The sequence below is a fragment of the Homo sapiens genome, chromosome 3, assembly GCF_000001405.40.
Source record: "Homo sapiens chromosome 3, GRCh38.p14 Primary Assembly".
Classification (NCBI taxonomy): domain Eukaryota; kingdom Metazoa; phylum Chordata; class Mammalia; order Primates; family Hominidae; genus Homo; species Homo sapiens.
Window position 1 is genome coordinate 89151417 of NC_000003.12, and position 26157 is coordinate 89177573.

Below are 26157 nucleotides of genomic sequence, written 5' to 3' on the forward strand. Positions count from 1 at the left end.
GACTTCTACAAAGATGCTGTACAGGAAATCTGGCATTTGGGTAGTGACTGGCACTACAGAAGCCAGTCACTTGGGGACATTAGAATGAGAGCTATGACTTAGGGTCAGCATAGTGAGGAGCAGGAAGAGGCAGCTCACTGGTGCTTTGCGGGAGATGCCACAGCACGTGCCAGCTGCCTATTTCAGTACTGTTTATACAAGAAAATTAGACTTGTGTATGACTGAAGATTTTCTAGGTTCAATCATTGGAGCATAATTCCAAACTAATATACAAACAATATATTATTTTAGGAAAAATTAACATAAATCAAACATGGATATGTGTATAAACGCACAAATTCTCCATTCTCTACATGAGCATAATAGAAATAATAGAAATAAAATAAAAGCATAGAATTTAAATATTAATATCAAAACATCCAAATCCATTTTGTGGTCTGGCATGACCTGAAGCTCAAGTAAGAAAACTTTTCTCCAAATTCTGTTTGCAATGATCCACTTACCTTTACTCTTAGAAATAGTGAGAGGCCTTTACAGAAGGCTGCAGAATAGCTTTTTGTTTTTTAAATTACAGATTTTCCACATTTAAATTTTAATATTGTTTGGTAGAAATGTTTGTTTTAATGAAGACTTCTGCCTTACCTTGAGATTATTCAGTGCATATGTTTATGTTATCTCAAATATTTGGACGCATATTTTAATTCATTTTTCTGTGGATCACGAAGGTACTCATCAACATTATGGTGTCCTTATTAATTTATATCCATGTGTTCTCTTCTTTACCTGATTAAAATTCCAAATTCTATCTCTAACTCAACAAATGATCAGAGGGAATACAACATACATAAGTCACCTATACATTAGAATTAACATAATACTCTCAGTTGTGTTCTGGTAAACCTAAAACGACCTCCTCATGCTGTTCCTTATTATGATTAAACACTCTCAGAAACTGCACAGGCCTTCTCTTTCCACCCACAACCTCCTTTCACATATGGAAGTTTTAACTTAGGGTCAAGACCATTCAAGATGTCTAGGTGATTTTACTCATCTGTTGTTATGAGTAATTCTCAGGACCTAAAACGTTCATACTGTTAAACTTTTTAGGGAGGACTAATGGAATACATACTATTATATATTTTTTAAAATGCTGGAATTCACATCATTATTCTTTCACTTATAGTTTCAACCTCCAGAAACTTAATTATACTTTTTAAAAAGAACGTGCTTACATTTTCCATCCAGTCAATGTTTTTTACAGAGTCAAAATATACTAGGGTAAAAAGTAAAAACCATCTTTGAGGTTATAGGAATATATTTAACAAAAATGACTGTGAAAAATCACAAAGGAATTGTTAATATGTTTCTAAATGAACGAAGAAATGTAGGCATTATATGTGGTGAGGAAAGTTTGAAAAGATTCATTACAAACTAGCAACTAAATTCCAGAATTTTGATAATTAGTTTGGTAAATTTAGAAAAATCACCCAAGGCTCAGTTTGTAGTATTTATCTGTAAAACTGTCTAATTATTTTTTGTCTACTATTTCATAAATATCATGTGTGTATTTATAAGCTATTATAGGTTGATGGATATAAAACCTAAACATAGATTGCTACAATAAAGCATATTTAAATAAGCACCACTGTAATAAGCACTATGCTATAAGTTAATTACTAAATGGGCTATGTATGCAATAAAAGCCACAGATGTTTGGAAAATGAAGAGTTCCATTGTGAATTGACATGGGTAAAGGAAAAGGCACTTAAATCTAGAATTTCAGCTTCATCTTGAAGCAGGTAAATGAGTCAGAGAGAAGATGAGAATGTTTCATATATTTACTTCACTTAAGATACTATGCTCTCCTGCTTTAATTTTTTCACACTTGCGGGTCCTTCTTCATTGACTTTGCTGTTGCCTCTTTATTTTCAGCCTTCTGCAAAATGTAGATTCATATATCCAACTTCCTTATTAATATCTCCATTTCTGAGATATTAAAAGGAAAAAAGTTGTTTTCCTCTTTTTCTTTGAGCCCACCCCCAAAACATATTTCTCCTGCAGTCTTCCTCATCCATGGCCACTTCTTCCTTCCAGGTATCAGGCCAAAATCTCTGGAGTCCACTTTGATTATTTTCCTTCTCTCACATTTCACTTGCAGTGGTGGCAATTCTTGTTGACTTTACTTTCAAAACATATCAGAAATATAACCATTTCTTACCCACCAGCAATGCTACCTTTCTGACCAAGCCACCACCATCTTTTACCTATTTTTTGTTAAATCCAGGCTCCCTGCCCCTGCATGTGTCCTATTATAGTTACACTCTGTGTTCATCATAGAATGATCCTGAATCTACTTATCTCACTCCTTTGCTGATGATCCTCTAAGGTTTTCCCATCACATTCAGAATAAAAGCCAAAGTCCTCAGAATGACCTGCAAGGCTCATCATGATTTGTCCCCCAGTGACATCTGTGACCTGCTCCTCTCTCCTTCCTTACACTGTTCCATCCTTGCTAGTGTCCACGGTGTCTATGAACAAGTCAGGTCTGCTTTTATCTCTGAGCTTCAGCACTTATTCTTCCCACTTCCTGCAAATGGTTCCCCTTTGTCCTGAAGCCATGAGGCCCCCCGACATTTATTTCTGTTCTCTTCAAATATTGACCTCTCGTTGTGGCTTGCCTTGATCACTCTATTTTAAATTGCATTTACTGTTTTTATTTTCTCCATAACAATTATCATCTTCTAATATTCTCCTTAGTGCATTTACTTGTTACTGTTATTATTTATATCCCCTTTCCTTTTGAGCAGGAGAACAGGAAAGTTTTGGGCTTCCTTGTTTTTTGGGTTTTTGTTTGTTTTTTTTTTTTTTTATTTTTATTTCTCATTCTTTGGACGCATAAAAAGGTGAGCACTCAATAGATATCTGTTAAATGCATGAATAAGTTAATGAATTAATAAATGTAGGAAAGTGTCATTTCTCCATGATTTTTTTTCAGAAAAAGTTATGAGTATCAATGGACTGTGTGGTGCTTATATACTGCTAATTATGTATAAATGAAGTGCAGCAAAACATAGTCTCATAATAATTTCAAAAATACTGATTTTGGACCTAGCTTTTAAGATTTATTTATTTAATGAACAGCTATACTGAACAATATTTTAAATTGTTTGATTGAACTAGGATTAATTATATAAATCATGTGAAAAATTTCAATCATTTGGCAGCCATTTTGTAAACAACTCACTCTATCATTTTGTAATTGGTAGATTGCTCAAATGTTGGAACAGTGTAACACAAAGTTTTCAGATTCAAATAGATCATGATTTTAAAAGGTTGGAACTTTAAAAAAAACAGGATTTTATTTGAGACATTAGGCAATTATCCATATATTTCATCTAAAGACAAATGTAACACACAGCCAACTTCCTTTAAGCCACATTAAAGCATCTAAGAACATATATATATAAAATATATATTATATAATTATAATTATATAATATTTATAATTATCATTGCTCCACTATTATAACCATTAGAAACATAATTCTGTTTAAAAGTTTCAAACTTTTTAAAATTTTTTCAAAGAATAAGTGTAGTTAAATTTTCTTGAAGTTTATTCAAACTGACAGCTATTAAGCACTTACTGTGTATATGTCTGATAGTGCTGTACATTAAATATAGAAAGATGAATATATGTCATAATCCCCAGGATGAAGGCATTATGGAGTTAATAGACTCAGAAGTGTATGTAAAATCAATACATAATGAGAACTATTCTAAAATATGAATAATGATCTTGTACATTTTTTATCTGTAATAGCTTAGGTACTATTTCTTTATTTGTTAACTATGGTTCCAGCCTATCTGCGTCATTTAAAACAAACTTCTCAAACTTCAAGAAACATATAAAATACCCTTTTTCTAGTTATATTAATAAGACTATCAAGTAGCATTTAGTGGGTGTATACCTTGTGCCAAGCACTAGTGACAATATGTACTGTTTCATTTAATCTTCCCAAAAGTCCATTGACATTTCAAGCATAGTATTAACCAGACAATGCTCATATAGATAAAAGAGTAAACAAAGTTTGTAAGAAAGATTTCAGATTAGATTACCTTACAATTGCAATCCATTTTGATTTTCATGGTGGCTTTTTGATTGTTCATGGAATTTCTGAATAAGAAAATACATTTTCACAATGCCAGGCTTTACAAATATCATTTATAAAAGCTAAAAAGTAAAGCAAAATAACTACTGTTTTACAATTACGTTTTAATAATGTTAACTTAAAACTTAAAAATAAAACCACTTCTCATATACCAGTTTGTGGAGGATTGAGTTCCCTTGAGAGAGTGAAAATATGGTCTTAGTGATTTCTTTTATGAGATTACCCTTTCTCATCTTTGAAAACATTGAACAGATTCATGCTTTATACAGTATGTAGTTGAACGTTGGGAACCAAGTCGTACTGCAGTGGTAGGAGTAATTACAGCTGTCAGTTCTTTCAACATGAGAAAACAACCTTGTTTCAACTTTACAAGAAACAGATTGTAAGTATCCAAAGGAAAAGAAATAACAGTCTTTATGTGATGAACAGTGTGGTGATTGTTAAACTAGTAAACTCGGCCATTTGGAGCGATGTATTTACTGGAGGCCGTTGGGAAGAAGATACTGTTTACGTGCAAGTTTGAGAGTGTTTTATGAATGAACAAACAAAAACATGAGCACTAAGTATCTCATCAGGAAGATTATAATGACTGGTGGACTTTTCAGAGTAGAGACATTGTGTCTAAAGAAACTTGTCTTAACTGCTTTCATGTGAGTTTTGTTTTTGTGTGAAAGCACTTCCTTTGTATCTGGGTGTTCCTCACATCTGGTTTATTTGGATGTTAGAAATCCAGGACTTCCTTATACTAAACAAGAAGAGAGCAGATTTAAAATTGGAAAAACTTGAAAACACATTATAAAATGAGGAGCAAGTGCTCTTATTTTTAACTGCTCTGCAATAAATTGTTTATTTTTTAAGCTATTTGTTTAACATGTGCTTCTTCTCTTAATCTGTGTGGAGGGGGTTATTTGGTGTGCTTTTGGCAAAATTCAGTCTAAGTGCCAAAATCAGATGACAGGGAAACTGACAGAAAAGCAAATCCATTGTTTTTATTCCACTGTTAGGTAAAACTTAAGGTCCTGGTTTCAAGCGTTTGCCATTTTTTTTCTTTACTTTGTGAAAATGTTTACTTCTTAGGTAAAAAGAAGAATGATATTAGTTAGCAAATTAACCAAAAAAGTTAGTGTGCAAAAGCTAAAAGATGTTTTTAATGCTAAACAGAGCAGGAACATTTTATTTAAAAAAACGAGACCATGAAAGTGCTAAATATATAAGAATATAAGATTCTGATGACTTTTGGTGGCATCACTTTCCTTTATCTTTACATATTCACTCATGTCCACTACACATTTTATTTTTTTTTTGGAAAAAAAAATGTAACTAAGGGCAGCCAGATGGCCTAGGACAGAAAACAGGACACCTCTCCTTGCCTGGACAGATTTCAAGATTGACACTGCATCAGTGCACAAATGAATCCGGATAATGTGGCAGAAACAAGGTGTCTGCCTCTTAATATGTAGCATGCAAAAGCTGAAGGAATAAAATAAACTTTCACTGACAGTTCTGGTTTGCAGATATATAAGAATGAAATTGTGATGAAGTGAAGGTTTGTACTGGGAAAGAAGCCAGGATGCTATGGTAGTGCGATCCAGTGTTCCACTCTTGGCCAACCAAATTCTGCTCTTTTATGATCGAACCACTTATTCTCAAGTTCTGCTTTAGAAAAAGCAAGATTAATGTGGAAGTCTTCATTAAAATTCAATTGCCAGATATTCCTTAATGCAACTTTAATATAATTTTCTAGGATCGCCAAATTTAAACAAATTCTATTTGACCTTTATTAACAGGCACCCCTTCTCATACTTCAGCTGTTATCCATAACACCTGTAGCAAATTCCTATGGTGTTCTTTCACAAAACCAGATCTCTTGCAAAGTTGATGAAAAACGAAGAGGAACAAGGAGCATAGAATATCATATTTCTTTTAGGTGTTTCTCCTGATTTCCTTTGGGTCCTGGAACATGTGCTTAAGTTTACAGTTATCTAAATAACCCTGCTGCTCCAAGCAGATGACTGTTGTAAAGGGGTAACCTTGCGGGGATAAAACCAGGGCAGGGGAACCCAGAAGCAGAGATGAAACTCTCTGCGGGCTGATGATGTATGTATATTGATTTCACAATTGTCCTACAGGTACTAATTCCAGGAAGTTGCTTCTACATGTCTCTGGGGATGCAGCAGTAAGTAAAAGAGAACAAATCATCCTTGGCAGTAGGGTAGATAGAAAATAACCAACACTAATATATACAGTGTAGGTAGTAACACTCGCTATGAAGAAAAAGAAAAAAAAAAAGGGAAAGAAGTCAGGGGAAAGAGAGAGTTAATGGGCAGGGCTGAAATTTTAAATAGAATCAACAGAGAAAACCCTGAGAAAGTGAGATAAATGCCTAAAGTTTGTGAGGTCTTTTCTGTCCACCTCAGTTGAAAGAGCCTACCATTGCTTGTTTGTGTTTTTAACAGATACTTCAGTAGTTCTATGTATACCATTGCTTCACAAATATTAATTCATTTGAATCTACAAGATAACACAATGGGACACATTCTATTATAATTTTGTAGATGAAAACAAAACTACAATGAAAATAAGTAAATTATCCAAGGTTGCACAACCAGTTAATGTTGAAGATAAGATTTAAACCTAAACAGCTTGACTCCAGAATGTTCTAAACCATTTTTAGATGCGTCTTTAAAAGTAGATTTATTTCTGTGGATTCTACCACTTCATTGAGGATTGCCTTTAATGTTCATGGTAGACAGTATGTGGTTTTTCATTAGGTGACATTGTCTCTTACTTCTCAATTAAGGTATACTTATAAATTCTTGGGGCTTTCTTTTACACTGTCTATTAAAAGGAATGAAAGAATATGCAAAGTATTGGTTGGCTATTTAGTCTGGTCAAGAATTCCTAAATTTGTTTATCAGAAAACAATGTATTATTACAAAAAATGTTAAAGATGTTAAGCAAGATAAAATAAATGTACAGGATGCTCCTTATTATGTCTGCTTTTCCCAGATTCATAATAAATGAACACATTAATATTTTATAGATTTGAGAAGTCCTCTTTCAAAGAGACAAGATTTGCTTTTGTATATCCCGTTGCTTCTCAAACATATTTTACAGTGGGCCTCTTCTTCTCAGCAACAACTGCAACATTCAAAGGACCCCAATGTGCTAAGGAGCATTCTTAATAAACAGTGCCAAAAGAGTACTGGATCAAGCTGTCTTCCAAATTTGGAATTAGTTCTATTTGAAAGGAGTGGAAACTTGGTAGGCAAATACATATGAAAAAATACATATATTTGCCCTTAATTTTGTTAAAGAAAAAATTCCTATGCATGTATTTGGGGAAGAAGAAAAGAAATAACTACTTTTTTTTGTTATAGTCCTAAATAATACATCACTGTAGGGCAAGGGCAATATATTATAAATAGCCTCACCCACATTTCCTTAAGCATATGTGCATTATTTACCTAATTCATTAATATATTAGTTCATTTTGTACTAATATGTCTGGCATATTTTCAAATGTTTCTAATGTGATTTTACTGATTCATTAAGTCAATATTTATCAAATATCTACTAGGCATTTTGATAATCAAAGATTTTATTTTTAGCATCATTTCTATAGCCCTGATTATTTTACACAAAACTGAAGTTCCTTTTACCAAAATCAGATGCATGTTTTATGAATCAGAGCTCTTAGTTGTAAGCATTGGAAACCTGCTGAAGCTGATTTAGTCAGAAAATAAATTTACTGAAAAGAGTATTACTAACCCAGCTCAGAAAGTGGCTAGATACAAGTTAGGGAGGGTACAGTAAGGACCACAGCAAGCACCACCAAAATCCACTAGTGAAGTCCCTGTAATTACCACCACCGTTAGTCCCTGGCTATGGTCTCATTGACACCACGACAAGGCTGTCAATTGAAGTCAGATGGCATTGCCAAAGCTGCTGCCAAAATAATAAATTCTCCACTGCCTCTCACTCCCATTACAGAGTTCTGGGCAGGAATAGTCAATGAAACCAATTGGAACTACAGAAAATAAGTGAGGTGTATTTGATGATTGTGTATCTAAATATAGGAAAGTGGCTCATTTTCTTGGAATCCAAAGCGGATAAATATCTTCATGACCCCCAACATTAATTACTATTAGTGCTATAATTTTCATCATTTTTATTATTACATTGTAGTATATAGAAGTACTCACTGTAATGAAACATCTTAGCTTCACACGGTGATTTATGAGATTGTGTTGAGGTATAAAGGAGATTAATTAAGAAAACTCTAAACACCAACTAGGCTTTATATGGGCTATGAGTTCCTTCCTTCTTTGCTTCCTTCCTTCCTTCCTCCCTTCCTTCCTTCTTTTCCTTCTTCCTATTTTTGTATTTTTTAACTTTTTCTTCAAAAATAAAAGAAAAATTATACTAGATTTGGAAATATGACTAAATACTACAATAACCCGACACTCTAAGACCGTTATCCTAAAGCAGTATACCAAAGAGTTTGAATAAGAAATGATGGTAATCAATTTCCTTACATTCCGTTAGGAGAAGGAAGTTTGCAAATGCTGTAAATGAACATAATATATAATATATTAGAAATCAATAATGTTTGGAACAATCAGAATGGATCTCACATTTCTTCTGGGGGTAACAGACAACAAACATATAATAAATACATAAACTGTATGCTATGTTAAAGTTTGAAAAGGGATATGAAAAGATAGAAAAAGCAGTGTAGCATATCTTGTTAGTGTCTGTTTCTTACAGAAAATGATGGTAATATTTAGATTGTTTTCCTTAGGTTGTTTGGAGAATAAAATGAGACTTCATGTGAAGGCCCTCTGAAAAGTTGTTATGATTACAAAATTGTCAATATTCTTAAGTAAATAATTATAAATAACTGTTCATAAGTAAATAAAGCTTTATATTCCACAAGTCAGAGAAAAGTAATATTAGATTTTGTGTGTGTGTGTGTGTGTGTGTGTGTGTGTGTGTGTGTGTGCGCGCATTCTTTTTCTGTGTGTATTTCTTTCACCAAAGTTTGGATCATGTTGTACAGCAAACTTGTATCTTTTTAATTGTCAGCCCTAAAGATTCAACCCTAAAGCTTTCTTCAATATTGTCACAAACTTGGTATATCTCTTTGGCAACTGCTTTCCAGACTTTTAATAGGAAATCCATCAGCAAAATTTTCACTTTTTATAGTCTCCTCAGCTTACAAAGTTGCTACTGTCTCAAACCTCAAATATTTCTACATTAAAAACATTTTTTAACTACCTATTTCAGAGTGGTTCTCCAATTTTTTGGTCTCAGGATTGTACTCTAAGAAATTATTGAGGTTTTGCTTATGTTGGTTATGTGTGTAAATATTTACCCTAATGGAAATTAAACTGGGAAATTTAACGAAATTATTAATGCATTTAAAAATTAGCAGTAAGTCCACTAGAAGGATGTTACCATCTGAGTGATGATCTCATCTCACATCACGCAGCTTCTAAAAATCTCCACCAAACTCTGGTAAGACAATTAGAGTGAAAAAGACAAACATTACTGTACTGTTACTATGAAAATCATTTTGATTTCCCTGGATCACACTTTAAGGACCATGCCATATTAGAAACTAGAATAAAAAAGGAAAATGTTTGAATGGGTAACACATTCACATGGTTACAATTTCAAAAATTATAGAAGAAATATAGTGAAGTCTCTCTCCACCTCTGCCAGTAAGTCATTGTTTCTCCTCTCTCAAAGCCATTAATAGTATTAGTTATGTGGTTATATGTATACAAAAATTGTGTAATGTTTACATAGTATAAATATAACACCTGCTTTTATACAAATTGAATCTTTCAATTATGTCTTATAGCTTACTTTTTTTGAAATCTAACAATGTATCTTGGAGATCTTTCATATAAAGAGCTTCCTTGTTCTTTATTTTTATGTTTGCATAGTATTACAGAGTATGGATATACCATGATTTATTTAATTAGTTTTTTTACTGACGGGCAGTCATTCATTTTATATATACATATAAAACAAAAACAGTGGCTGTAATGAGTAACCTTGTGTGAATATCCTATAATTTTTATTATTTTAAATCTGACTTTGTCTAGGCACAGTGATTTATGCCTGTAATCCCAGTATTTCAGGAGGCCAAGGTGGATGAGTTGTTTATCCCAGGAGTTCAATACCAGCCTGGGCAGCATGGTGAAACCCTGTCTCTATGAAAAGATATAAAACATTAGCTGGATATGGTAGCATGCCTGTAGTCTCAGCTACCTGAGAGGCTGAGGTGGGAGGATCACCTGAACCTGGGAGGTAGAGGCTGCAGTGAGCCATGATTGCACCACTGCACTCCAGCCTGGGTGATGGGAGTGAGACTCTGTCTCAAAATAATAATAATAATAATAGTAATAATAATAAATAATAATAAATAATAAACCTCTCTTGCTTAGTGAGCCTTCTTATCCAAGTGAGGTAATTCACTTAAAACACAAGTAAGAGATTTACACAGGAACTGGGAATTAGATGAACACATAATTATCCTCAGAGCAGGAATGCTTGAGGCTGAAAAGGGGTATTACTTAAAATTAAAATTGGGGATAACATGTAGAAAGTAAGACAATCCTGGACATATTAGGTAATTTGGTGTCCTGGAAATCATGCATTTTAGAAATGAGGAAAGCAGGAGTAAATACAGGAACATGCCATACTCCAAATAAATTAGATCAGAAGAAATAAAGTACCTTATTAATTAATAATGTCCAAATAATCTATTTCAGCCATTGTGAATGATGATGTTAGTTTTATGCAAAAGCAAATGCAATGACCTAGCAGAATTTGTTCTTTGAGGATCTGATTTCTGCTCATTTTCTAAAATGTTCCTTCACTCAGTATTGTTCTCTTCCTTCCTCTCTTGCCCAGAAATCACTTGTCCAACCTCTCTCCTTCTCCTCAATTGTAGTTTGGGTTCCCCTGAAATCAGACTGTAGGAAGGCATTTTGTATGCTGAATGTTTAGAAAGGAGTGCCTTTGGGATTCAAACCTGTGGAAAGGAAAGAAAGGAAGCAGGAATGGACAGAAGGTGAAGTGAAGCTGTGATCTAGACCTACCAAGGGTTTTAGCCCAACCCTGCATGCTGGAACTGAGAGGGGCTTTTAGAAAGATCTTGAATTGGGCTGAGATTGCAAGGCCTTTTTATTCCTGCAAAATCACTGGATGTGCCACCCTTGGGAAGGACCTGAACTCTAGGACGGCCACTCCATGCAGCAAAGACAATATCTGAAAGGGTTGAAAGCTGCAGGGTGTCTGCTGACAGCATCCCAGCAGCCGGGGCTGCAGTCCTTCAATGAAGAGGTATTCAGGTGGCAAATTGCAGTGTCAGCCTCTTGTATCAACATAGTCGCACAACAAACATGATTCATACTAAGATATAAATGATTAAAGTTTATATTTACCAGGATATTTCATTTTAGCATGAGCAAAATAAATGAGCCAAATTACAGGAGTGATTATAGCTTTAGGATCATTCACACCTAAACTTGAACCCTGCCATTGCCTCTTATTCACTGTAAGCTTCAGTTTCTTCTTCTATAATATAGGGATGATGATACCTATTTTGGAGGATAGTGTACAGATTAGAGGTTATATTTTAAGTAAAGGACTTAAGCGCCTAGTACATAGTGAGCATTTAGCAATGATGACTTATTTTTAATGAGTAATCATAAAATTGATATTAACTTGATTAACTTTTAGTTTGATACTAAATACTTTGCTATGATTTTGAGGGGTCGGGGGAGAAGGGAACAATAAGGAAATAAGAAAGCTTTCCCAGAACATCTCATTTATGTTGCTGCTGATGCTTTATACTAACCTTTTTATCATATTTTTTAATATTATTGATTTTATTACATTATAATAGCAATACCTCATATTCATATGATATAAAAATAATGTGTAGATGTTTTGTGAGTTCCCTTAATATCCAATGTATACTTCTATTGAAATGTGGGAATGAAACTTTGTAAATAAACTAAATGAATACTAGTTGTGAGTATCTTAACTACACACCTGGGAAATCGAGGACTCTTGTCCGATTTCCCAATCAGACAAGATTGTGAGCTGTGGGTCTCTGCTGTAGCTGGGTGGCAGGTATAAATGGAACACTCCTGAACAAATCAGAATTAATTGCCAAGAGAACCTACAGTGTTACTTTCAAAGGATGATGGTATGGGGAAGGAAGAGACACAAAAACCCATTCTAAAGTGACTGTTTTCTCTTTGAGGTCAATAAAACTGGTCTGGTGGTTTATCCAGGTGAATAAGAGGCTGATTAAGGAATGAGATCTTTAAATCTGATTGTGCCTAGTTTTTTTGTATAGAGAAGTCAATAGTTAGGAGCAACAAACCAGAGTACCAAATAATATTACCATATTATTTTCAAGGGAATAGAAACATCTCAAATTAATCCAGTGATGATTTTGAATTCTTCAGACAGAGGTAGCGTTTCAGACATAAAGGAGTAGAGAAGACTAATTGATTTAGCAGCGCATGGATCTACCAGGTAGCCTAGACAAGGAATGTCCAATCTTTTGTCTCCCCTGGGTCAAATTAGAAGAAGAATAATTGTCTTTGCGCCACATATAAAATACACTGACACTAACAATAGCTAATGAGCTTAAAAAATAATCACCAAAAAACTTATAATGTTTTAAGAAAATGTACGGATTTGTGTTGAGCCACATTCAAAGCCATCCTGGGCCGCATGCGGCCCACTGGCTGTGGGTTGAACAAGCTTGGCCTAGACACGCCCCCCTAAAAAATCCAACAAACCTTTGCAGAGTGTATGCTATTGCTGGGATTAACTGGAAATCTTTCTTGGAAGACATTTTTCAGACCTGTGTCACACCTGACATCTGAATTTTCCCATTCACAGCTTCTCTTGCCCTTTGGATCTGCTTCCACCCAGACTTGCTGTAGGGTAAATCCCACTAGTTTTTCTGTCTTCCTCTGAACTTACTAGAAATCTTCCAGCACAAAATTCTAGATGCCTTCATGATCCTTTTCTTTTATGGAGAAAAAAGATTAAGTAGGCCAAGGAAAGGATCTCCAGATTATTCAATGAAAGTATATGCTTTTCTGCCCATTTACTCTCTAGAGAGCATACAATTAGTGTTAATAGAATGTGTGCTGGTAGGATAATGCCCCAGAACACCCTGCAGAATAGTCACAGTATATCTCAGGGACTAGAAGAGAGTGTTTAATAAATGAAATTATCTGATAATACTACATTTAAAATGGAGGTGTATTTACACAACTACACAGAGACAACTTGTAGTACTACTCAAACAAACAAACAAAAATCTTTCAATGCAGCATTGCTGAGTCAGGGTTTTCATATCCTTATACTTCAGAAACTGTTTCTTATTTGGCTTTTAAAGATTGCAGGTCCTTCTTAGAGTCTTTCTGTCACCTCTGATTTTAATCAGTGAGGGATTAGGAACATAAAACAGATTAATACAGGAGACATTTTGTAAGTGATTCTAATGCAACAACATTCTAGACAATCCCACTGGGATCCATGGGAAAATTCAACCTCATTTCTTTTGTAGCTACAATTGAAACTCTGGGAAAGCTGAATGAGAACACAAAGAACTTTCACTTAAAATAAGACAAATTGCCAATGCTTAACTAATCCTCAAAAGCAGATCTTCCTAAGAATTAAAACGAAATGTCATAGTATGTAATCCACCCAACATATATTATCTGTATATAAAACATTCTTGAAAGAAATTATACTTTTCGTAATAATTATTTTTAATAAATGCAATGCAATGCAAATATATTTCAAATTGGTTCAATCATTCCATCCCCAATGCTATCACCATAGAACAGACCATCTCTTAACTGTTCTAATGCATGGATTAAAAACTTCTGTGCTCTTCTGTGCCTTTCCTCTTTCCATCTCCATATTGTAGTCAAAATGATCCATTCAAAAATGCAAGTCTTATGTTAATTCTCTGCTTAATTTTTAATGTTATTACCTTCAAAAAAATGTGTTACTTTTGTATTCTCCTTTTGAATCCTTGATCCAAATATCTTGCATCTTTACATACTCATCTTCTGAAATAAAAGAAGACATCAGCTTTTGTGCAACAAAATCCTGACTCCTTTCCAAGGCTGTTCAGGCCTTGAATGATAAAGGCCCCTGCCGTTCTGGAACTTGGTCATGCTGTGGCTACACTGGCCAACAATCAGCTCCTCAGAAACACCAAATACCCATTCAGGGCTTTTGTTCCTGTGTTTTCATTTTCCCAGAACACTTTTCCCTGGCTCTTCAAGCGCCGTTCACCCTATGGTTTGTTTTAGATGCTATCATCATCTTTGTTTTACAGATGATGAAACTAAAGCCAGAGAGGTTAAGTAATTTGCTCAAATGCTCATTAATAGCAAATGAGTGGCAGGATTAAAACCCCGGTGATCTAACTCCAGATTCCCGGCTCTTCACTGCATGAGATCTCTGTCTTAGCACCCTTCAGGTCTGGTTCTCAGCCTAAACGTCCGGGTAGTTTTCCCTGTTCCACCGTCTAAAGTAGGTTTAAGAACCACCTTCATCTTCTCATTCTTCGTTTATCTTCTTCTTCATATAATTTATCAAAATTTGTAATTATTTATTATGGTAGTTGTTCAGCTTTTTAAATTGTACACTAAATTATGAGGTTTCTGTGGGCAAGACCAAAATATGCCCAGCACATATACTATCTTTTGAACAGAAGCACTCACTCTACACATTTTTGCTTGAAATAACTAAAACACATGGAGAGGAAGGGTAGTTATTGGATGCCTGTAACTTTTGAAAATGATATAAAGTCTTTAAATTATAATAATTGTTTTTTTCTGATTTTTTACTCTGATAACCATGTTACAAGATTCTATTTCATTCAAACGTATAAAAACAACACCAACCATAAAAACAGTTCTTTGAAACAATGAAGACAAATCAATTATCTTCTATCCTTAGCATTTCTCCCTTTCTCTCCCAAATTCACCTGCTTCCTCTGATTTGCTCTCCTTTTTTCTTTTGCTTCTTGGAATTATTTGCATATAATTAGTTTCCAACACAGTGACATATCAGAAATGTCGTACTCTCAGAATATTTTAGAATGAGGTCTAGGGAGAACCTAAACAAAATGCACCCTTTTATTAAATTGACCTGACAATATTAAGGGGGTGCTTTTGAATGGATAATTCTTTGAAAGCATCAGTTAACAAACAGCACAAAAACACAAGCACAGCAACCCAGCAAGTATGATGTATTATTTAAGAAGGGGTTGAGTGGGGTCTTTATCTGACAAGTCACAGGCAGAAAACACATTCCTGCAAATTGCCCCATTTCTCCTCAAAATGTGTCTGAGGTGAAATGGAGCATCCTTTGTTTCGTACAAAGAAAATAACTCAGGAAAATGACAGTTTAGTGATACATATCCTCATGGTCTAAAAGTCAATGACCTGGAAAAAAAATGATGAAAACTAATTTGTTTTAATGGACAGATAGTATTGTATATTTTTATCATGTACAACATAATGTTTTGAAGCATATATACATTGTGAAACAGTTAACTAGCTAATAGATGCATTACATCACAGAGTTTTTATTTTGTGATAAAAGTACATAACATTCACTCTGTTTACATTTTTTCAAATATAAAATACATATACTTGGAAATTCAAAGGACATATAATTTAAAATATCACATTTATATTCTCTTTAATATTTTCTATTCTTTCAATAAGAAGATAAAGCATAACTACAAGATTTAGCATGGGTAGGGGTAGGGGGAGAAATGAGAAAATGAAGTAGGGAGAAAAGCTATTTCTCTCCCCTATGTGGGGAGAAATAACATTACAAAAAAGAAATAGAAGCTAAAATGCATCATCTTCAATTGTGTGTTATACTAACTCCATAGTTTGAAGTTTGTGCTTATTAGAAATCCTGACATCTGTGAATTTAAGGTAGTTGTCTCTGTTTTTGTCTTAAATGAAAGTCAAAGTTGAATACACTGAACTTTCTGAGGAGCAGCAGAATTTCAAGGGTTCCTTCCTTTAGAAATTATAGGGAGTATCTGAGGACTAACTTGATACTGGAGAAATATTTGCACATTGCTAAAACCTGTTATTCTCTTTTCAACTGGAGCAAGATAGAATTCCCACAGCTAGGTCATTACTATACTTTGACTCCTAAACTCTCATGTTTATACTGTGTCTACATATTTGAGAATTGCAAAAGGTGGGAACAACACTTTCTTCACTGATTTCTATTATTTATTATATACACATATATACACACACACAAATATACATACATATATGTACATATATTTTTAAACAAAATTATGATTAGCATTTTATTTGAAGAGTGCAAAGTACCTAAAAGTCACTAAGACAAAGGTTTGAAGTTGACACTGGATAAAAAGACAACCTTGAAATAATTTTAAAGTTTGCAATTAACACAGATCACAGTGTGGCAAGTAAAAGTTTTAATAGCAGACTGGCCCAGGCCTTGAGGTAAATTATGCATAATTATTCATAACTGCTATTTTTGGCTTGCCTGATTTGTCCTAGACCTCTGGCTGAGGAAACAATTTGAAATAATTAGTGTACTAGTGCATTGACAATGATGAATGAATTGAATACTTCTTGTGCCAAACATAGATCTTGATAGGAAGCAGATAACTTTGACAACTGTGGTATTTTGTTATTAGATCTCTGAAAGTGGAAAGTTTATGTTATTTTTTGTGATTTTTTATAGGGTGTTTCATAAGTCATTCTCTAATGTCCTCAATCATTAATGAGGCTGTGATTAAAAACAAACCAAAAAAAATTTAAAAACAGCATTGATGTTTATTTATACCAAATTTTTACATGTTTAATGTTAAGAGTTTAAACTATGATATTCTAAAAATAACTTCATGGTAATTAAGAGACTTCCTTTCAATTTTAATTTCATGACTAAATTAGAGTTTAGTATATTATATCAAAACTATATTTAAGAAAAATAATACAGATAATTAAACACAATGCTTCTTGAAATAGAGAAGCTTTAAATTTTTCATATGATAATTAGTAATTTTTTCTAAATATTACAAAATGCATATTTGCCTACCTGTTGAGTTCCTATTGCTAGGAAACAAAACCTTCCCTTTACATATGTTAGTATAGAAAATAATTTTCAATGATTAAAATATGCAAATGTATTGAAATTTAAAAATTTAGAAATTCTGGTACACCATCAAAAAATAAAACTAGCAGAAAATTATAGAAAAGTCTCAGAGAGATGTTTTTCCAATTCATTGTACATAAATTATATAAAGCTCCTCTTTTAATTAAGCAAATACTCAGAACACAATATATTCGCATTTTTCAGTAGAATAAACACTAACAATTGTCTGTCTGGAGACAACTGTTCCTTGGCTGGAGGTTTGGACAGACAGGCAATCTTTGTTTTGGTATAAAAGCATCAGCCCATTTAGGTCACCTGAGTGAAAAGAATTAGACTTATTTTTTCTGAAACCATAAAATAATTTAAAAGTATAAAAAGATGAATTCACAGACAACCTTTGGCATCTATAATAATTTTATCACTGCTAATTATACATGTTTTTTTTTCTAATTTTAAAAGGTTAGTTAGGGCATCCACATTTGCAGTAAAATTTTTTTATAGATATTGTACATATTTTTCAGACCGAAATTATAAACATTTATATTACACAGGCACATAGTAGTTGGGTCTTAGCTGTGCTTCTGAAATACAGCATCTAATCAATGTTCTCATTCTCTGTTACTTATAACCATGACAAAATTATTTAAATGATTCTTGCTTTTCATGTATAGAATAAACTGCAATCTTAAATAAACTGCTAATAAAATATATCAACTTGTTTGATAACTGTTATATATAAACTATTATTTTATGTAACTCTTACCCATAATGAAGAGATAAAAAATCACACAGGTGACCATACAGTGTTTTTGTGTATATTTTCAGATATCATATATTTCAAAATTGTGCCTATGACCTTGAAAAAGCTGTTTTTTTGTGGGATCATATGGCTACATAAAGAGACACTTCTCTTAAGTTCTCTTGCATTTATTAGGTTTAAAGTTCAAATATATCATTTCTTCAGTTTTACTGGGATGTATGTAAATTCTACTTCATAACCTTAATTTTGTTTTTTTGTTCATATTTTCTGATAGTAGAAATTGCAGCATTCAATCTACTTTACCTGAAGCCTTTGTTAATTAGATACAGTTACTGGTTTTGACAGAGCCAGATGAACGGCTCTGAAAGTCAACAAACTCTAATATTGAGATTATAGCCTCGGCGGGGCGCGGTGACTCACGCCTGTAATCCCAGCACTTTGGGAGGCCGAGGCGGGTAGATCACGAGGTCAGGGGATCGAGACCATCCTGGCTAACACGTTGAAATCCCGTCTCTACTAAAACTATAAAAAAAAATTAGCCGGGCGTGGTGGTGGGCGCCTGTGGTCCCAGCTGCTCTGCTCGGGAGGCTGAGGCAGGAGAATGGCGAGAGCCCGGGAGGTGCAGTTTACAGTGAGCAGAGATCGCGCCACTGCACTTCAGCCTGGGCGACAGAGAGAGACTCCGTATCAGAAAAAAAAAAAAAAGAGATTATAGCCTCAGAAAATAATGATTTAATCACAGAACTAGAATTACTTAAGTTTAAACCTAAGGATACTTGGCTTAATCTGTGAGATAGCTTTTATTTTATTTTCCTCATAAGGACTTTGTCATATTGGATTACTTTGGACCCAAACCTTCAAGGACACTTAGCCTGGCTCTCTGTCCTGATGGAAATGGAATAGCGGTGGTCTGGGAGTGAAGATTTCCACTGGTCTATGGAATGCACACAACTTGGCTATAAAGTGTAGCCAAGGAGTTGATGACATACGAACTAGTTCTTCTACACTTTTCTTCTGAGACAGGTGCTGTTGCGACTACTCTTGCTATTGAAGTGAAGATAGAGCAAAAGTGTAGACAGTGGGATCCCAAGCTCAAATATAAATATTTAACCCTAAGTATCAGTTATAAAAATGATACGTTTCTATATGTCATTGCAGAAGAGAAACACTTGGGGATTTTGAGACCCTTGAGTGAAGAAAAAGAAAAAACAAGAATTTATTTGAGAGCAATTTGAGAGCAATTTTTGTGAATGCTCATTTTGGTTATTTTTGTTAATATTACCTAGAATTAAGTTCAGTAGTTTTCTGGTCTAGTGGATCGTTAAATAGAAGATGTTTACAGCATGAAGAGCATATGCTAACTCTTTAAAACCATTTTTTTTTTTTTTAAGAATTGAATCTGATACTTTTGCTTAGCTGGATAAGGGAGGCAAAATTTTTAACAGATTGAACACTTTAAAAAGGCTTCTGTTTAGTATCACATTATGGGCATGCATTTTCAGATTGGTACAAATTAGCCTTGATATTACATGAAGATTTTTATGTCTCAAATTTATCAACGTTGTTTCAAAAACTATATGAAGAAAGAAGCGTTTTACCCACTAAAATAAAATGAACTGTTATATAGCAGGCTTAACTACCTCTGTGGTAAGTTCTCTGTGAGAGAATATAAAATAAGCATATTTTATTTTTCAAATGCCTCTTGTCATTTGAAGCCAAGCAGATTCAACTTTGTGGCAATGGCTACATACTGAACTCTATGAGAACAATAATGTCTCAAATTGATTGAATATCACTAATCGGTTCTAAAGAAGGTGATACTGTCTTTAAGTTGGAAGCAATTAATTTTGGTGTACAATGAAGCAAGCAATGGATATAATAGGTGTTTTTCTTATGACACAAATTGATAACTTGATTTTGAGGCTTATATTGAGTGAATGTCGTGGGAAGTAATTTTACAAACTCTTCTCACATTTGTTTCATTCTAAGAAAATGGTGAATGATAAAATAATGGGAAAGAAAACAGCATCTATAACTTATTCAGGATTGCACACTCTTTTCTTAATTGCTTTAGGGTACAACTTCAGAGCTTATTGCTAAAAGGTTATATGTTTTCCTTGTGATGTGATTTTCTAATCACGGGGAAAAAAAATATGATATCATCCCAAAGGAGGCAGTTGAACAAAAGACAACACATAACCAGAAAAGCAAAGGTTCATGGCCTGACTTAAAACTCCTTTGAATCAGGAACCACCTTATGATCACAACTGCCATGTTTAAATGCATGACTCAGAGATGTGCCTATCGTTGATAACATTAGCGGGTCATTGTGTAAGCCTGACCATAATCTTTCTATAGACAGAAGCCCTCTGTTTGGGTGGAAGGCTTAAAAAGTAGTGTTCTGTGAGATAGATTGCAATTTCTTCCATTCGCTTTTGTTTCTTCCTTCTTCGTAACCAACCGCCCCTTCTTCTCTACTCCCCCACCACCCCCTTTACGTCTGAAGCCATCAATTCATGTATTTAAATGTCCTTGGAAACTGAAAGTAATCTAGAAGGTTATTAGCATATTGTTATAAATGTTAATGGCCTGACAGCAAGGATGGGCTTTTTCTTTTATGCGTGTTGTTGTGAACATTGTGAGTTTAAATGGGGTAAATCTTCCCCATTCAGAGTGTTGCCCTGGCCCTTCATTCACATGTCAGGAGCTCATTGTGTGCCCAAACCTTGTCAGAGGCTTCTAGATGTTTAGTGGCAGCAGCTTGCCATTGAGAGCTGGGAAGAGGGCTGTTTGGGATGGGGGAAAGACCAGCCTAGGCAGCCAGGTGGTGGCCAACTGGCCAGTAACTGACAGACAATTTAACCTAACCAGGCTGTACAGTCAGGCCTGCGTTACAAAAGACCCACATGTGTCCTTAGCAAGCTTCATTAACTCTTTTGGCTAGGGCTGTACTCCTCTGACATATTAATTAGTTGCAATGCTTTCTCCTACTCCAACTTAACCTTTCCATTGGTCACTCGATTCAAGTGGATCCATTGGAAGCTATTAGAATAATATGCAAAATAACTGGAAAAATAGCTGTAGGAGGAACAAGATTCCCTATCACTTCACTGATTTTGTAAGAAACAACAATGTTGAAAAGAAAATGTGTGATCATTAATACTTCACTCAGAAAGGTGATCTATTCCATATTGTTAATAATAACAGGACATCAATTACAGTGTAATTATGTGCATGTCATAGGTATAGAATTGTCATGATTTATTCTGTCTCTGTAATAAAAATAAAGGAAAATACTATAAAACAACATTTTGATGTATTTTAGGTTATCTTAATGACCAGAGTGACTTGATGTGGGGATTATAAATTGGTTCAGCTTTTTGAGTAATTTTCACAAGTTAAAGTCTTAATGAAGAAGAAATTGCAATATTCAAAAAAGTTAATATTTTTAATATTATAACAAGTACAGTATTCAGAATCTGTAAATATGTTTCATATGTACATAGGTAGAGATAGATATACATATAAATGTATCCACCAAAAAAGATGAGTTTTTTGTGTACTCCTTGATATTTTACATTTCATAATCAAGTGCTGTATCATGTAACTCTAAGTAGAGATGCATCAAGTATTGAATTTAATGACTATTGAATCTAATTTGTATCCTTTGTTTGTTTTGCTTATAGAATGTTTTTTGTCAGAGGTATTCTATACGCATAAATTAAATGTCCAAATTTAATTTGGAATTCCTAAAATCCAAGGCCAAAAATGCATTTTATATATCAACCCTTACATAGGCAGTAAATCTTCAGTGGTATAGTACTTTTAACTTCTCACAGCAGATAAGTCACCTCTCAAATCCATTGGGTGAGTAAACTCAGTTTCATTTTATCGTTTTAGATACTGTTATTTTTCCAACTTAAGGAAAGTTTCATATTACTTAGTTCAATATCCTAAAGAAAAAAATAGAAACAAGTACAATGTGTATACTTATTATTAAATGTTTTTATTAGCTATGTAAAATCAATAATTCTAAAAGTAGATTTTGCTTTAAACTGTATTACCAGAAAGAGAGAAGCTGTATTCAAAACCTGATGATGAGCATTGTCTGCTTACTTTTTGGTCAGCTTCACTGTATTTTTCCTCACAATAATTGGTTAATATGAGTCAGGCTGACTCTAAAATAAGCATATCTGAGGCAATTCTTGAGAACTAAAACAATGTGTTTAGTTTTAAGTTACATATAAAAATAACATACTGTCACATTTCAAGAAAAAAGAAAAAAATGATCCCTTCAACATTGGCTATTGTCTCTAAAACATGTTCTATAAAAAATAAAGTAAATTAAAAAAACATAGTGAACAACCACAGTCTGGTAGCAAACATGCATTTTATTCCCAAATCACACGTGTGTCTTTTGGGACATATATTTTGGGAAAATAGTTGATATTGGTGGTAGAAGCAAGGAAAAATTACTCGGCTTTTACAGAGAAGAAACTCAAGAAAAATGCTATGTAAGAAAAATGACTCATGGAGATAAGTTATAATAGTTTTAATTTCAATTGATTTTAATTTAATTGTGAATCTTAGGGACTCAGAAATGATCTGTTTTCTGTTGGTGAAAGCTGCACATTAAATATCAAGAGGTCTTAGGTTTCCGTGATACTAGGTGTTCTCATACTTAGATAGTCTCATGTATTTGCATAGTAATAAGATTATAATATCTGTCTCTAGGAGTGCTTAAGTCTTCTTTATCATCCACGAGTAATCTGAATATACCTGATCAAGGCAAAAATGTAAGTGTGGTCATTATGAGTATTTCATTATTGTTTTTATCAGGGAAATGAGATTATCTGCAGCTACATACAATGAGCTTATTATCTGTTAGTAGATTGGGTCTCTTTTTTAATCCATTTCTAAGCAGCATGTGCATTTACATAATGTACATATCACTTCAGGAAGTAAAATTACAAAAAGATTGATTGCAGAGAGTATATTTACCCTATATTCTAGCAAGTTCATCATTTTTTTAAGAATCCCTGTCTTGAATGTAAATCAGAATTATTATATCCTTAATAATATAGTTATAAATCAGAGCCAACAGTCTTAGAACCACACATCTTAATGAAGTTACTTTTTAAAATTAACCACCAAGTTAAATTATGAAATATATATTAGAGTATGATATTTGCCAGGTGATAATACTTTAAAAAAGATGGAGCTTTGGAAAGAATTTATACTAATCAATTTAATAGGATATAAATAATTATAAGATGTTTTGACCCTACATTTTTAAAAATCAAATCAAATTTGGTAAATCTGATAAGAATAGCATGTGCAGAGGAAAAAAAAAGCATGAAACATTGTGTGAACTAATTTGGTTGTCTCCATTTAATTGGAAGCATGTATTAACATTCTGTGGTTCTGCATAATACTTTTTCTGTTAAACTAAGCTTCAAAAATCTGGTAACAATAGGTTTGGTAAAGAAAAAAAGTGATAGCATTTTTTTTTTTTTTTTGTAATCTGGCCTTGAAACTTTCACCTGAGGAAATAAGCATGTGTTGGTTGTATTTGGCAGTAGAATGTTACCTTTGAAAATAGGCCCTTTTTATTTGATGTGATCCAAAATAAAGCTGAAACAAATTGGGTCACAGGTGCCAACACTTGATAATTTACAGTGTGGTAAAACCGAGTGGTGTTTGTAAGTATAATTTGCTCCGGGAAAATTTGAAACCACTTTAAGTTGGAAAAGTGTCAATATTTTATAACATATTTTATACCAACCATACCCAGATTGCAAGATCCTTTCTAACTACAAGCTGTAGTTAACTTTCAACTATTCATTTAAATTTGTGGCTTACAAGTGTAGTGTAAAGTCACTGGTCATTTATTAAAGCACATTCTTTAAATATTAAGACACAGGAATTGATAAACATATATATTTTAGTATGTGGAAGTTTATTTTGAACCTTGTTGAGTTATTAACTTCAAAAAAATTTTGACCAAATTAGTAAAATTATGTTTCAGCCTTATTGGCTTTATGACATTTAAAAGATTATAGGCGTTGAAGTTCAAAAACTAATATTATTAAATATTAGTAACTAACATTATTCCACTTTAAATTTTGATTTATACAAGTTAATTAAAATACTTCCTAAAAGGACGGGTTGTCATCTAAAATTTTCCTTTTGGTTTCTGAACCATGCCTGCGATTCTATTCTGGTTCTCTTATATTCTGGTACCCTTAGCATTGAAAAAGGAAGGAGGAAGAGGAGAGAGAAGGGCAAAAACATCCTATTCTCCAGGACTGAATTCCTCCTTCTGATTAGAGTTATTCTGTTGTTATTGTTGTTTTTTTACAGTTGTTTTCGTTTTGGCCACCACTGACCCCCAAGTGATGCTATCTTGTGCAACTTTGCTTTTATTTTTTGTTTAAGTTTCAGATATTTTTGTGAGATATTTTGTAATACTTTAATATAGAATCTGAAGTTTCTTTTAGCATTTTCCCATTTCATTTCTCATTTTGTGATACACATCTCAATATATTCCAATTTGGAGATATTAGTATATGCCACTGTAGAAAGATTATAGGTGTTGAAGTTCAAAAACTTGACTTAGAAATATCTTTTTGTGGCTGGACATGGTGGCTCACAACTGTAATCACAGCACTTCAGGAGGCGGAGGCAGGAGGATCACCTGCGGTCAGGAGATCGAGACCAGCCTGGCCAACATATAGTGAAACCCCGTCTTTACTAAAACGTGCAAAAATTAGCTGGGTGCGGTGGTGCATGCCTGTAGCCCCAGCTACTTGGGAAGCTGAGGCAGGAGAATAGGAGAATCTCTTGAACCCACCCAGGAGGCAGAGGTTGCGGTGAGCCAAGGTTGCGCCACTCTACTCCACCCTGGGTGACAGAGCAAGATTCCATCTCTAAAAAAAAAAAAAAAAAAAAAAAATATATGTTTTTTCACCTACTGTTTATTCTTACACCAGTTACTTAACCTTTCTAATTCTCAGGAATTTCTCTTGCAGAATGAGAGTAATAATACATGTCTCACAGAGTTGCTGTGTGCAACCATATTTTGTAAAGCATCTTACACATATTAACAGTCTTAAATCTTATTTAGAATCATAGTGTTACAAATGTATTTAACTATAAGTTTATTAATACATACATCATAAAATCCTTGTCTCTGTTGGCATTTGTTGTGCAAACCACTTGGAATTTATCTGTAATATACCATAGGAAAATGAATTGAAGAAAATAAAATTTTCAAAATGGCTTTCAAATATTTTATTTTAATTTTATATGGAGATTAAAATAAATACATGCAGATATTTTTCTTAATATTTCAGATTCTCTTGTAACAACAAATACCAAATACAAAAACACAGCCACATACAGGACACATATCTCACACACACACACACACGGTTTTCTTAGACATTGACTAATTTGCAAAACCAAACGCTTACTTATATGTAGCATAGCATAAAGGGTTCACTCTGCGTGTGTGTGTGTGTGTGCACGTGTGTATGTGTGTGTGAGTTTTATCACTTCTCATAATCATCTGAAATTTCCTAAATATTATAAGAGTAGTTTTTCTTCTTATATCTGATTCCACATCTTAACAAAAACTTTTACCTCTAAGCATGGACAGAATGCTGGTTAGCTACCTGCCAGCAATTCTTTACATCTGATCTGCAAAAGGACACTTGTCTGGGTGTTGTGCATGCCTTGGTGTGCACTGACAACTGAGTGTTAAAATCTCTGGGGGACATCCAGAGCGACCACAAGTCTGAGGCCTTGGATTACCTGTCCACATTTGGGACTGTAACTGTGAAAAAAGATTTCTCTCTCATACATCTGCCTTCTCTCTTCTGATTTGATGTTCCCTCTCCCATTGGTAAGATTTCAGTAAACAACTTCAAAGACTGACATAGGCTGACAGCACACGGCAGATGTGAAGGGTTACTTCCTTTCTCTTTTAGGTTTCATTTTTTAAAA

General features: G+C 33.8%; 1 protein-coding gene across 5 annotated transcripts in view, besides 1 other annotated feature; it reads left to right on the forward strand.

The window, feature by feature from the left end:
• EPHA3 (EPH receptor A3) overlaps positions 1-26157 on the forward strand; it is a 374514-nt gene that overhangs the window by 43796 nt on the left and 304561 nt on the right. The gene's annotated exons all lie outside the window — the stretch shown is intronic.
• Positions 13989-14849: an enhancer, noted in NCBI's record as "OCT4-NANOG hESC enhancer chr3:89214555-89215415 (GRCh37/hg19 assembly coordinates)". NCBI's record gives its function as "activates a minimal SCP1, AML or CMV promoter by ChIP-STARR-seq in naive H9 embryonic stem cells {active_cell/tissue: H9 hESC(naive)}" and the evidence as "EXISTENCE:reporter gene assay evidence [ECO:0000049][PMID:30033119]".